This window comes from Homo sapiens, chromosome 6, assembly GCF_000001405.40.
Source record: "Homo sapiens chromosome 6, GRCh38.p14 Primary Assembly".
Lineage (NCBI taxonomy): Eukaryota > Metazoa > Chordata > Mammalia > Primates > Hominidae > Homo > Homo sapiens.
This window is the reverse complement of record NC_000006.12, coordinates 85,769,056-85,784,675: the sequence shown is the minus strand read 5'-3', so window position 1 is coordinate 85,784,675 and position 15,620 is coordinate 85,769,056. Positions and strand designations below refer to the sequence as shown.

General features: G+C 39.9%; 1 annotated feature.

Annotated features, from left to right (window-relative positions):
• Positions 11,224-11,857: an enhancer, noted in NCBI's record as "H3K27ac-H3K4me1 hESC enhancer chr6:86482537-86483170 (GRCh37/hg19 assembly coordinates)". NCBI's record gives its function as "activates a minimal SCP1, AML or CMV promoter by ChIP-STARR-seq in naive H9 embryonic stem cells {active_cell/tissue: H9 hESC(naive)}" and the evidence as "EXISTENCE:reporter gene assay evidence [ECO:0000049][PMID:30033119]".

Sequence of the window (15,620 nt, the reverse complement as noted above, 5' to 3'; positions counted from 1 at the left end):
TAGAAAGAGGAGCTGGTGCCATTCCTTCTGAAACTATTCCAATCAATAGAAAAAGAGGGAATCCTCCCTAACTCATTTTTTGAGGCCAGCATCATCCTGATACCAAAGTCTGGCAGAGACACACACAAAAAGAGAATTTTAGAACAATATCCCTGATGAACATCGATGTGAAAATCCTCAATAAAATACTGGCAAACCCAATAAAGCAGCACATCAAAAAGCTTATCCAACATGATCAAGTCAGCTTCATCTCTGGGATGCAAGGCTGGTTCAACATATGCAAATTAATAAATGTAATCCATCACATAAACAGAACCAATCATAAAAACCACAACATTATCTCAATAGATGCAGAAAAGGCATTTGATAAAATTCAACAGCCCTTCATGCTAAAAACTCTCAATAAACTAGGTATTGATGGAATGTATCTCAAAATAATAAAAGCTATTAATGACAAACCCACAGCCAATATCACACTGAATGGGCAAAAACTGGAAGCATTCCCTTTGATAACCAGCACAAGAGAGGGATGCCCTCTGTCACCAATCCTATTCAACATAGTGTTGGAAGTTCTGGCCAGGGCAATCAGGCAAGAAAGAAAAAAAGGGTATTCAATTAGGAAAAGAGGAAGTCAAATTGTCCCTGTTTGCAGATGACATGATTGTATATTTAGAAAACCCCATCATCTCAGCCTAAAATCTCCTTAAGCTGATAAAAACTTCAGTAAAGTCTCAGGATACAAAATCAATGTGCAAAAATCACAAGCATTCCTATACATTAACAGACAAACAGAGAACCAAATTATGAGTGAACTCCATTCACAGAAACTGCTACAAAGAGAATAAAATACCTACGAATCCAGCTTACAAGGGATGTGAAGGACCTCTTCAAGGAGAACTACAAACCACTCCTCAATGAAATAAAAGAGGACACAAACAAATGTAAGAACATTCTATGCTCATGGATAGGAAGAATCAGTATCATGAAAATGGCCATACTGTCCAAAGTAATTTATAGATTCAATGCTATCCCCATCAAGCTACCAATGACTTTCTTCACAGAATTGGAAAAAGCTACTTTATAGCTCATATGGAACCAAAAATGAGCCTGCATTGCCAAGACAATTCTAAGCCAAAAGAACACAGCTGGAGGCATCACACTACCTGACTTCAAACTATACTACAAGCCTACAGTAACCAAAACGGCATGGTACTGGTACCAAAACAGATATATAGACCAATGGAACAGAACAGAAGCCTCAGAAATAACACCACACATCTACAACCATCTGATCTTCAACAAACCTGACAAAAATAAGAAATGGGGAAAGGATTCCCTATTTAATAAATGGTGCTGGGAAAACTGGCTAGCCATATGTAGAAAGCTGAAATTGTATCCCTTCCTTACACCTTATACAAAAATTAATTCAAGATGGATTAAAGACGTAAATGTTAGACCTAAAACCATAAAAACCCTAGAAGAAAACCTATGCAATACCATTCAGGACATAGGCATGGGCAAGGACTTCATGACTAAAACACCAAAAGCAATGGCAACAAAAGCCAAAATAGACAAATGGGATCTAATTAAACTAAAGAGCTTCTGCATGGCAAAAGAAACTACCATGAGAGTGAACAGGCAAGCTACAGAATGGGAAAAAAAATTTGCAATCTACCCATCTGACAAAGGGCTAATATGCAGAATCTACAAAGAACACACACAAATTTACAAGAAAAAAACAAACAACCCCATCAAAAAGTGGGCAGAGGATATGAACAGACACCTCTCAAAAGAAGACATCTATGCAGCCAACAGACACATGAAAAAATACTCATCATCACTGGTCAATCCCATTACTGGGTATAAACCCATAGGATTATAAATCATGCTACTATGAAAACACATGCACATATGTTTATTGTGGCACTATTCACAATAGCAAAGACTTGGAACCAACCCAAATGTCCATCAATGATAGACTGGATAAAGAAAATATGGCACATATACACCATGGAATACTATTCAGCCATAAAAAAGGATGAGTTCATTTCCTTTGCAGGGACATGGATAAAGCTGGAAACCACCATTGTCAGCAAACTATCACAAGGACAGAAAACCAAACACTCCATGTTCTTACTCATAGGTGGGAAAGGAACAATGAGATCACGTGGACACAGGGTGGGGAACATCACACACTAGGGCCTGTCAGGGTGTGGGGGGTTGGGGGAGAGATAGCATTAGAGAAATCCCTAATCTAAATGATCAGTTGATGGTTGCAGCAAACCAACATGGCACAGGTATACCTATGTATCAAACCTGCACATTTTACACATGTACCCTAGAACTTAGAGTATAATAACAATAATAAAAAAGTTGAGCTGATCACCAATAGCCAATGATTTAATCAATCTTACCTGCATAATAAAGTCTCCATAAAAACCCTAAAAAACTGAGTTTGGATGAGCTTCCAGATAGCTGGCACCCAGAAAAAGGATGAAAGCTCTGGGCTCCTTTCCTCATGATTTGTCCTATTTATCTCCTCTGGATATTCATCTGGATCATTTATTAATAACCATGTAAACATAAGTAAAGTGTTTCCCTGAGTTCTGTAAGCCACTCTAGCAAATTAATCAAACCTGAGGAGGGGGGTCTTTGGAACGCCAATCTACAGCCAGTCTGGTAGAAGTATGGGTGACAACCTACTACAGTTGTCCCTTGGCATTCAAAGGAGATAGGTTTCAGGACACCCACGGATGCCAAAATCCAAATCCAAGGAAGCTTAAGCTTCTTTTTTTTTTTTTTTTTTTTTTTTTTTAGAGGACTAGTTTTACCTGATGAATGGGACACAAAGTAGTTTTTTTGGGTTTTTGTTTTGTTTTGTTTTGTTTTTGTATTTATTGATCATTCTTGGGTGTTTCTCACAGAGGGGGATTTGGCAGGGTCATAGGACAATAGCGGAGGGAAGGTCAACAGATAAACAAGTGAACAAGGGTCTCTGGTTTTCCTAGGCAGAGGACCCTGCGGCTTTCCGCAGTGTTTGTGTCCCTGGGTACTTGAGATTAGGGAGTGGTGATGACTCTTAACGAGCATGCTGCCTTCAAGCATCTGTTTAACAAAGCACATCTTGCACCGCCCTTAATCCATTTAACCCTGAGTGGACACAGCACATGTTTCAGAGAGCACGGGGTTGGGGGTAAGGTTATAGATTGACAGCATCCCAAGGCAGAAGAATTTTTCTTAGTACAGAACAAAATGGAGTCTCCTATGTCTACTTCTTTCTACACAGACACAGCAACAATCTGATTTCTCTATCTTTTCCCCACATTTCCCCCTTTTCTATTCGACAAAACCGCCACCATCATCATGGCCCGTTCTCAATGAGCTGTTGGGTACACCTCCCAGACGGGGTGGCGGCCAGGCAGAGGGGCTCCTCACTTCCCAGAAGGGGCGGCCGGGCAGAGGCGCCCCCCACCTCCCGGACGGGGAGGCTGGCCGGGCGTGGGCTGCCCCCCACCTCCCTCCTGGATGGGGCGGCTGGCCAGGTGAGCTTAAGTTTCTTATATAAAATTGTGGAGTATTTGCATATAAACTATACACATCCTCCCATATACTGTAAATCATCTCTAGACAAATCTAGAGATGATCATCTCTACACTAATAGTAATAGTAATAGCAATCTAGAGAGATTGTATAATATCTAATACAATATAAATACTAGGTTAATAACTGTTTACTGTGTTGGTTTTTATTTGTATTTTTATTATTGTGTTTTGTATGCTTTTATTGTTTTTTTTTTAATATTTTTGACCCCTGGTTGATTGAACCCTCAGACGTGGAACCTGAGATATGGAAGGCCAATTGTACTTGCAATTGACATCTGAAGCGAGAGCAGTCTTGTGGAACTGAGCCCCTAACCTCTGGGATTTAACATTATCCACAAATAATGTCAGAATTGAATTGAATTATAGAGCACCCAGCTGGTGTCCACTGGAGAACTAGTTGGTCTGCAGGGAAAGACCCCACACACATCTGGTGTTAGAAGTGTTGTGTTAAGTGGAGCATGAGTAAAAGTAGGAAAAACACTTCGAGCTTTTTTTCAATACCATATAGTGAACATAAAGTTATGTTTGTTAAGGTAAAAAAATTGACACATTTTATTAAACAGTCTAAAAGCTTGATTTCTAACTTCTAAACACTTGGTAACATGTTTTATAGCTCTCCATTTGAACTCTTGCCTTAAGCACTGCAAAAAGTTAGGGGTGGGTGTAACCATTCAGAAATATGAAAGTTATCAGTGACCTGAAAAACAGCAGTCCAACTTGAGTGGGTTGGTGAAAGGCGGTAAGGTGAGAAAGTACAGGATCTGACCAGAAACTGTGTTTTCATATAGCTAACCATGAAAGAGAGAAGATAGATAAGAAGTTAGTAGGAAGGGGATGTAAAGACAAGAAAGGTATTTTGTTTTGTTTTGTTTTGAAATGTTTGGTTTTAGATGGGAAATGTAATATATTTTTATATTTATGAGGATAATCTGGTAGAGAGAAACAAATTCATGATGAATGGGAGAATAATTACGAAGTCCTTGGAGGGTGGAGCAAGATGGTCAAATAGAAGCTTTCACTGATAATCCTCCTTGCAGGAACACCAAATTTAACAACTATCTACACAAAAAAGCACCTTCATAAGAACCAAAAGTCAAGTGACCACTCATACTACATGGTGTCAATTTCATATTGCTGAAAGAGGCACAGAAGAGGGTAGGAAAGACGGTCTTGGATCACTGATGCCACCCCTCCCCCATCCCATGACAGCAGCCACCTAACACAGGGAGATAGCTTGAATGCTTAGGGGACAGAGAGCACAGCAACTGTGGATCTTTGTGTTCAAATCAGTGCTGCCCTCACATAGCAGAAAGAAAAACCATGGGGTGGTGGGGGGCGGGGGGCAGAGACCACAAAAAAGACAAAGAAAAATAAACAAAAAAGAAAAAATAAACAGAAAAAACATGCTGAACTCAGCCAATGCTTGCTCATGGAGAGAGTATTTAGGCCAGCCCTAGCCAAAGGTGAATTGTCCATCCCAGCTGCTGGAACCTGAGTTTCAGCAAGCCTCAACACCATGGGCTAAAGGGCTCTGGGTTACTAAACAAACTTCAAAGGAAATCTAGGACACAAGAACTGCAATTCCTAGGCAAGTCCTAGTATTCTGCTGGGCTTGATGCAAGTAGACTTGGGGGACACATGAACTAGTGAGATACCAGTGGGGGAAACTAAGGGAATGCTTGCACTATCCCATCCCAAACCCCAGGCAGTGTGACTCACAGCAATGAAAGTGACTTCTTCCTTCTGCTTGAGGAGAGCAGAGGAAAGAGTAAAGAAGACTTTGTCTTGTATATTATACACCAGCTCAGCCACAGTAGAATAGGGCATTGAACAGAATCATGAGGCCTCCCATTCCAGGCCCTGGGTCCTGAATGACTTGTCTAGACACAGCCTGCACAAGAAGGGAACTCACTGCCTTGAAGGGAAGAACCAAGTCCTGGCAGAATTTTTCACCTGCTGAATAAGGAGCCCTTGGACCCTGAATAACCAGCAGTGATACCCAGATGGTACATGTAACGAGCCTTGAGTGAGACTCTGAGACATGCTGGCTTCAGGTGAGACCCAACACATTCCCAGCTGTGATGGCTATGGTGAAAGACTCCTAATTGAGAACAGCAGAGGGAAAAGTAAAGGAGATTTTGTCTTGCCATTTAGGTACCTGCTCATCCACAGTGGGAAAGAACACCAAGCAGGCTCTTGGGGTCCTTGGTTCCAGGCCTTGGCTCTTGGATGGCATTTCTGGACTTACTGTAGGCCAAAGTGGGGACCACTTCTCTGAAGCGTAAGTCCTAGGCCTGGCAACATTCACCACAAGCTGACTGAAGAGCCCTTGAGCCTTAAGTGAACATCAGCGATAGCCTGGCAGTACTCTCCATGGCCATGTCATTGTGGTTGCCATGAAGACAGGTTCCCCTGCCTATGGAAAAAGAAGGGAATATTGGGAAGGACTTTGTCTTGTGGCTTGAGTGACAGCTTAGTCACAGTATAATAGAGCATCAGGTAGATTTCTAAGGCTTTTGAATCCAGTCCCTGGCTCCTGAATGGCACTTCTGAACCTGCCTGGGTCCTAGGGAACTTGCCACTCTGAAGGGAAAGACACAAGCCTGGATGATCTCACCACCTGCTGATAGTAGAGTGCTAGGGCCCTGAGCAAACATAGGCAATAACCAGGTAGTGGTTACAACAGGCCTTGGGTGGCACCCAGTGCAGTCCCAGTGGTAGTGGCCACAGGAGTGCTAACTTTCTTCCCCAGCTCCAGGTGGCTCAGCAGAGAGAGAGACTCTGTTTGCTTGGGAGAAAGTAAGAGAAGAGAACAAGAGTTTCTGCCTGGTAATCCAGAGAGTTCTTTCAGATCTTCTCTAAGGCCACCAAGGTGGTACCTCTACGAAACTACAAGAACCAAAGTATTACTAGGCTTTGGGTACCCAACTAACATAGATACGACTTAGAGCTCAACACCTGAGTCTGTTTGAATACTTGGAAAGCCTTCCCAAGAAGGATGGATACAAAGAAGCCCAGACTGCAAAGACTACAATAAATACCTAATTATTCCATGCTTATACAGCAACAAACATTCACAAGCATCACAATCATCCAGAAAAACCATAACTTCATCAAATGTACTAAATAAGGCACCAGAGACCAATCCTGGAAAAACAGAAATATGCGAACTTTCAGACAAGGAATTTAAAATAGCTATTTTGAGGAAACTCAAAGAAATTCAAGATAACACAGAGAAGGAATTCAGAATTATATCAAATAAATTTAACAAATAGATTGATATAATTAAAAAGAATCAAGCAGAAACTCTGGAGTTGAGGCTAGTCCAAAGGTAGTAAGTTATCTAAATTGTTCACAGTTATACAACTGTTCACAGATTGAATTCCCTGTTCTGCTCTTTCCTGCCTTCTCACTACTGTACTTGCCTAGGCTTTAAAAATTAATCTTAAAAAGTGGATCCTGGAGTTGAAAAATTCAACTGATATACTGAAGAATGCATCAGAGTCTCTTAGTAAAAGACTAGATCAAGCAGAAATAAGAATTAGTGAGCTTGAAGGTAGGCTATTTGAAAATATACAGTAAGAGGAGACAAAAGAAAAAGAATAAAAAAGAATAAAGCATGTCTACAAAATCTAGAAAACAGACTGAAAGGCCAAATATAAGAGTTATTGGTCTTAAAGAGGAAGTAGAGAGAGAGAGATCAGGTGGAAAGTTTATTCAAAGGGATAATAACACAGAAGTTTCCAAACCTAGAGAAAGATATCAATATCTAAGTACGAGAAGGTTTTAGAACACAAAAATAGATCAAATCCAAACAACATTACCCCAAGACATTTAATAATCAAACTCACAAAGGCCAAAGATAGAGAAAGGATGCAAAAAGTAGTGAGGGAAAAGAAAGAAATAACATACAAAGGAGCTCCAGTACATCTGGCAGCAGACTTTTCAGTGGAAACCTTACAGGAGAGAGTGGCATGGTGTATATAAAGTGCTAAAGGAAAAAAAATTTACCCTAGGGGAGTATATCCAGCGAAAATATCCTTCAAACATGAAGTAGAAATAAAAACTCTCCAAACCAAAGCTGAGAGATGTCATCAACACCAGGCCTGTCCCTCAAGAGATGTTAAGGGGAGTATTTCAATCAGAAAGAAAAGAAGGTTAATAAGGAATAAAAAAAAATCATCTGAAGGTACAAAATTCACTGGTAATAGTAAGTTCACAGAAAAACACAGAATATTATAACACTGTAATTGTGGTGTGTGAACTACTCTTATCCTAAGTAGAAGGACTAAAAAATAAACCAATTGAAAACAGTAACTACAATAAATTTTCAAGAAATAGTACAATAAGATATAAATAGAAACAACAAAAAGTTAAACAGAAGAGGACAAAGTTTAAGTACAGAGGTTTTCTTTTATTGCTGTTGTTGTTGTTTGGAGATGGAGTCTCACTCTGTCACCCAGGCTGGAATGCAGTGACCCCATCCCAGCTCACTGCAACCTCCACCTCCCAGCTTCAAGTGATTCTCCTGCCTCAGCCTCCCAAGTAGCTAGGATTACAGGCATGTGCCACCATGCCCAGCTAATTTTTGCATTTTTTTAATAGAGACGGGGTTTCACCATGTTGTCCAGGCTGGTCTCAAACTCCTTACCTCGGGTGATCCACTCGCCTCGGCCTCCCAAAATTCTGGAATTGCAGGCATGAGCCACTGTGCCCAGCCAAAATGCAAAGTTTTTATTCATTTTCTTTTTGTGTGTATGCAGTGTAAAGTAGTCATCAGTTTGAAGTAATGGGTTATAAGATAGTACATGCAAGCCTCACGGTAAGCTCAAATCAAAAAAATATGCAATGGATACACAAAAACTAAAAAGCAAGAAATTAAATCATACCACCTGATACGGTTAGGCTTTGTGTCACCATCCAAATCTCATCTTGAATTATAATTCCTATAATCCCCACATGACAAGGGAGACACCACGTGGACACAATTGGATCATGAGGGAGGTTTTGCCCATGCTGTTCTCGATAGTGAGTGCATTTTCACCAGATATGATGATTTTATAGTGTTTGATAGTTCCTCCTGCATTCATTTTCCTTCCTACCACCTTGTGAAAAAGGTGTCTTGCTTCCCCTTCACCTTCTGCCATGACTGTAAGTTTCCTGAGGTCTCCCCAGCCATACTGAACTGTGAGTCAATTAAAACTCTTTCCTTTATAAATTTCCCAGTCTTGGGCAGTTCTTAACAGCAGTGTGAAAACAGACTAATACACCACCAGAGAAAATCATCTTAACTAAAAGGAAGACAAGAAGAAAGAAAAGAAGGAAGAGAAGACCACAAAACAACCAGAAAATAACAAAATGACAAAAGTATATCCTTACTTATAAATAATAATATTGAATGCAGTAGAGTAAACTCTACAATCAAAAGGCACAAAGTGGCTAAATGGATTTTAAAAATACCCAACAATCTGCTGCTGAAAAGAAATACATTTCACCAATAAAGGCACACATAGACTAAAAATAAAAAGATGAAAAAAAGATATTCCATGCCAATGGAAACAAAAAGAGGCAGGAGTAGCTATATTTATATCAGACAAAAATAGATTTAGAGACAAAAACTATAAGAAAAAACAAAGAAGGTCATTATATAATGATAAAGGGGTCAATTTAGCAAGAGGATATAACAATTGTAACTATATATGGACCAGATATATAAAGGAAATATTATTAGAGCTAAAGAGAGAAATAGACTCCCATACAATACTAGCAGGAGACTTCAACACCACATTTTCAGCATTGGATAGATCTTTCAGGCAGAAAATCAACAAAGAAACATGAAACATTCTGCACTATAGACCAAATGAACCTAGTAGATATTTACAGAACATTTTCTCCCATTGCTGCAGAATACCACATTCTTCTCACCACATGTATCATTCTCCAGGATAAGCCATAGGTTAGATCACAAAACAAGTCTTAATAAAAGAAAAGAAATAATATCAAGTATCTTCTGACCACAATGGAATAAAACTAGACATTAATAGCAAGAGGAATGTTAGAAACTATACAAACACATAGAAATTAAACAACATGCTCCTGAATGAACAGTGGGTCAATGAAGAAATTAAAAAGGAGATTTTAAAATTTCTTGAAAGAAATGATGGTGGAAACACAGCATACCAAAACCTGTGAGATTAGTACAGCAAAAGCAGCACCAAGAGGGAAGTTTATAGCAATAAGCAACCTATATAAAAAAAAACACTACAAATAAGTAACCTAATGATGCATCTTAAAAAACAATAAAAGAACCAAACCTAAAATTAGCAGAAAAAATAATATGACAGCAGAAATAAATAAAATTGAAATGAAGCAAACAATACAAAGATCAATGAACCAAAAAGCCATTTTTTTGAAAATATAAAACAAAATTGATAAGCCTTTAGATAGACTAAGAAAAAGAGAGACAAGATCCAAATAAATTAAATCAGAAATAAAAAAGAGACATTGTATCTGATACCACAGAAATTCAAGGGATCATTAGTGATTTTTATGAGTAGCCATTGGCTAATAAATTGGAAAATCAAGAAGAAATTAATAAATCTCTAGATACATACAATCCCGATTGAGCCATTAAGAAATCCAAAGCCTGAACAGACCAATAACAAGTAACAGGATGAAAGCCATAATAAAAAGTCTCCCAGCAAAGAAAAGCCTGGAACCCAGTGGCTTCACTGCTGAATTCTACAAAACATTTGATGAAGAATTAATGTCAATCCTATTCAAACTGTTCTGAAAAACAGAGGAAGAGGAAATATATCTAAACTCATTCTAAGAGGCCAGTATTACCCTGATACTAAAACCAGACAAAGAACAACAACAAAAAAAACACTACAGGCCAATATCCCTGATGAACATTGATGCAAAAATCCTCAACAAAATACTAGCAAACTGAATTCAACAACACATTAAGAAGAGCATTCATCATGATCATGTGGGATTTATCCCAGGGATGCGAGGATGGTTCAACATATGCAAATCAACCAATGTGATACATCATATCAACAGAATGAAGGACAAAAGATGTATGATCATTACAATTGATGCTGAAAAGGCATTTGATAAAATTCAACATCCCTTTATGATAAACCCTCAAAAATCTGGTATGGAAAGAACAGGCCGGGCACAGTGGCTCATGCCTGTAATCCCAGCACTTTGGGAGGCCAAGGTGGGCAGATGACAAGGTCAGAAGACCGAGACCATCCTGGCCAACATGGTGAAACCCCATCTCTACTAAAGATACAAAAATTAGCCAGGCGTGGTGGCATGCACCTGTAGTCCCAGCTACTCTGGAGGCTGAGGCAAGAGAATCACTTGACCCCGGGAGGTGGAGGCTGCGATGAGCCAAGATCATGCCACTGCACTCCAGCGTGGGCGACAGAGCAAGACTCTGTCTCAAAAAAGAAAAAAAAGAAAGAACATATGTGAACATAATAAAAACCATATATGACAGACCCACAGCTAGTATCATACTCAATGGGGGAAAACTGAAAGCCTTTCCTCTAAGATCTGGAGTCCAAAAAGAATGCCCACTTTCAACACTGTTATTCAACATAGTACTGGAAGTCCTAGCTAAAGCAACAGACAAAATAAAGAAATAAAGTGCATTCACATTGTAAAGAAGGAAGTCAAATTATCCTTGTTTGCAGATGATATGATCTTCTATTTGAAAAAACCCAAAGACTCCACCAAAAAGCTATTAGAACTGACAGAGGACAGAACAATATGGCTGACTAGATGCAGCCAGGCAGAACAACTGCCACTGAGAACTGAGATTACTGGTGCACTTGTAACAGATCTTCAGAGGGAAGGCACCAAGAGTAGATGAAGGGAAGACATAGAAGCTGAAATGGAAGGGGAGGAACTGGGAACCATGCACAGGGCTACTGAGCATGAGGACTTTTTCCAGGCCCCCAGTGACTCTAGGGAAATGGGAGCATTGAACTGGCAAAGAGCAATGTGCTCTCACAAAGGGCATCTGGAAGCCCAGCAGGAGGCAACCCTTGACCACCACAAACACTCAAGCTGGCAGGGAGAGCTGTTTAGAGAAGTGGTAGCACAGCAAGCCAGCTAATGTGTAGCCCAAAGAGTTTGGTGTAGGAGTGTCTGCAGTGGAGCATGGCCAGAAACAGCCATCTCCCTAGGTTCAGCTTGCTCCCATAGGAGACTTTAGCCCTCGAAAAACTGTAGGGCCTGAACTTTGCATGGCAGTCTTGCCTGTCAGACTGGGCCAGTCCAACCTGAGCCCCCCTTGGTCTGCTGTCCTCCCCCAGGACTTCAGCCCGGCAACACCTGCTTGCAGTGCAGCCTTGGATGCCCTGGAGATCTGCATCATAGCTTCTGCACTGGCAGACCATGCTTGACCAGCAGAAAGCTCCAGCAGAGCAGCCCCCGCAGCCATGCACAGACTGCCCACCCCCTCCCCACACTGCAGGTTCCCCTGATCCCAGAGCAATCTTGCACATCACTTTGCCAGCACATGTGTGTATAGGCAGATTTTGCTTTCCTTGACCCACTAAGACACACGTGTGCATACAACATGCCCTGCCACTGCTGCAGCAGAAGTGCAACCTCATTCCCCCTTGCCCACCAAGCACCATTACAGTCAGAGCCTTAGTGGGCCCTGAATCTGCCAGCACCTAGTCCTTGTATCAACACTACTGCAGGAGTGAAATTAGGCATGAAGAACAGTGAACCCTCCCTCACCCTGTGCAATCATCCCTTACTGCAGTGCACAGAGAATGCACACAGACTTGCACCCACCACCGTCCTGCCTCCATGCAAACACCACCACCAGTGTGACCATACACATGGTTGCACTCCCCAACCCCTCTGAGCCTTATTGCCTCAACCACTGTGGTGAATGCCCATATAAAGGCAGGCATCTCAGCATGTACTAGCACCCTGCTACAGCAGATGAATGTGCACCCCGCCGTGCTGCCACTGCTGCTGCTGCTGGCATGCATAAATGAGGACAGATCCTGCTCTCACTGCACTATAAAATGCTTTGGCTGACACCACACCATCACCTCAGCCCAAAATTAATGTGCAAAAATCACAAGCATTCCTACACACCAATAACAGACAAACAGAGAGCCAAATCATGAGTGGATTCCCATTCACAATTTCTACAAAGAGATTAAAATAGCTAGAAATACAATCCAAAAGCTTTTTAATAAACTTTTACTCCTGCTTTAAAACTTGTGTCCACCTCTCCTTTCACCTTATGCTCCTCAGTCGAATTATTTCTTCTGAGAAGCCAAGAATTGAGGTTGCTGCACACCGTGTGGATAACTACCACCACTAACAAGGGTACTCCTGTTGAGGAGGTGAAGAAGACTGAAATCTAACTCAAATTCCAGACACCAAACCCTGCAGGAAGTGCCCAGAGGGAGGGGCTAGCACTGTAGGGGATAATGGTAGCATATTAAAAGAGGTTTTTTCACTAGAAAAAAAAAATTAAAATTTATGTGGAACCAAAAAAGAGCCCACATAGCCAAAGTAAAACTAAGCAAAAAAAAAAAAAAAAAAAAAATCTGGAGGCATCACATTACCTGACTTCAAACTATACTATAAATCTATAGTCACCAAAACAGCATGGTACTGGTATAAAAAAAGACACATAGAACAATGGAAGAGAATAGAGAACCCAGAAAATAAGCCAAATACTTACAGCCAAATGATCTTCAACAAAGCAAACAAAAACATAAAGTGAGGAAAGGACACCCTATTCAACAAATGCCCTATTCAACAAATGGTGCTAGGATATTGGCAAGCCACATGTAGAAGAATGCACCTGGACTGTCATCTCTCACCTTATACAAAAATCAACTCAAGATGAATCAAGGATTTAAATCTAAGATCTGAAACCATAAAAACTGTAGAAGATAACATTGGAAAAACACTTCTAGACATTAGCTTAGGCAAAGACTTCATGACCAAGAACCCAAAAGCAAATGCAGCAAAAGCCAAGATAAATAGATAGGATTTAATTAAACTTAAAAGCTTCTGCACAGCAAAAGAAACAATCAGCAGAGTAAACAGACAACACACAGAGTGGGAGAAAATTTTCACAATCTATGCATCTAACAAAGGACTAATATCCAGAATCTGTAATACAAGGAACTCCAACAAATTAGCAAGAAATAAAAAACAAAAATCCCATCAAAAAGTGGGCTAAGGACATAAATAAACAATTCTCAAAAGAAGATATACAAATGGCCAACAAACATATGAAAAATGCTCAACATCAGTAATAATCAGGGAAATGCAAATCAAAACCACAATGTGATACCATCTTACTCCCATAAAAATGTCCATAATCAAAAAGTAATAGATGTTGGCAGGGATGTGGTGAAAAAGAAACACTTTTACACTGCTGGTGGGAATGTAAACCAGTACAACCACTATGGGAAACACTGTGGAGATTCCTTAAAGAACTAAAAATAGAACTACCATTTGATCCAGCAATCCCACTACTGGTTATACACCCAGAGGAAAAGAAGTCATTATAAAAAAAAGTACTTGCACACACATGTTTACAACAGCAGAATTTAACAATTGCAAAAATCTGAAACCAGCCCAAATGCCCATCAAGCAAGTGGATAAAGAAACTGTGGTATATACATACCATGGAATACTATTCACCCACAAAAATGAATGAAATAATGGCATTTGCAGCAACCCGGATGGAATTGGAAGTAATTTGGGAATGGAAAACCAAACATCATATGCTCTCACTCATAAGTGGGAGCTAAGCTATGAGGATCCAAAGGCATAAGAATGATGCAATGGACTTTGGGGACTCAGGGGAAAAGATAGGAAGGGGATAAGGGATAAAAGGCTACCAGCTGGGTACTGTGTATACTGCCCAGGCGATGGGTGCACCAAAATCTCAGAAATCACCACTAAATAACTTATTCATGTAAGAAAACACCACCCATTCCCCCCAAAACCTATGAAAATAAAAAAAATTTAAAAAAGTTTTAAAAAGAGGTTCTTTCAACATAGACATCCAGAGGATTAACTTTCTATAGACTTTCTATCCAGCCCAATGAGAAAAATTTGAAAACAGATGTGACCAGAGAAGAGAATACACCTGAGGTTTATCTATCAGCTTTCCATTCCGTAGACCCAGGACAACCCACTTCCTGCAGGCTGATAAGCTGGTGAAGTTCAACCTTATAATATTAGGAGACTCAGAGAAGTAGCACTTTTGAATGTCAAGGTTGATTTCCCTCCAGTTACTTCTCAATCCATATGGGGACAACCATGTACTTATCAGATATGTAAATGTTTATTTTATCAAATAACTATTCCTAGAGCAATTGTAATGGAATACAGTTAATAATCCTTACAATATCCACTACAAAATGGAAAAGAAGGAATAAAGGAAAAAAAAGTTATTACCACCAAAAGAATATTGATCATATTTTAATTTTATGGGAGAAAATATTTGCAAACTACCCATCTGACAAGGGATTAATAATCAGAATATATAAGGAGCTCAAACCACTCTATAGGAAAAAATCAAATAACGGGATCAAAAAATAGGGAAAAGATTTGAACAGACATTTCTCAAAAGAAGATATACAAATGGCAAACAGGCATATGAAAAGGTGTTCAACATAATTGATAGTTAACGGAGTTTAAATGTGCTCACATAGCACGGTCCACCCTGACAGTCATGAATTATATGTACTTACAAAGGCATCTGATTTCTACTTATCTTATTTTCTTCTCACTTTTTCTTTTTTTATTATATTTTAAGTTCTGGGGTACATGTGCAGAAGGTACAGTTTTATTACATAGGTATACGTGGGTCACGGTGCTTTGCTGCACCCATCAACCCATCACCTACATTAGGTATGTCTCCTAATGTTATCCTCTCCTCACTTTTTCTAATGGAATCTTAGATCCAACAGAAAAAAAAAAAAAAACAGCTACTTCATAAGGCAAAAG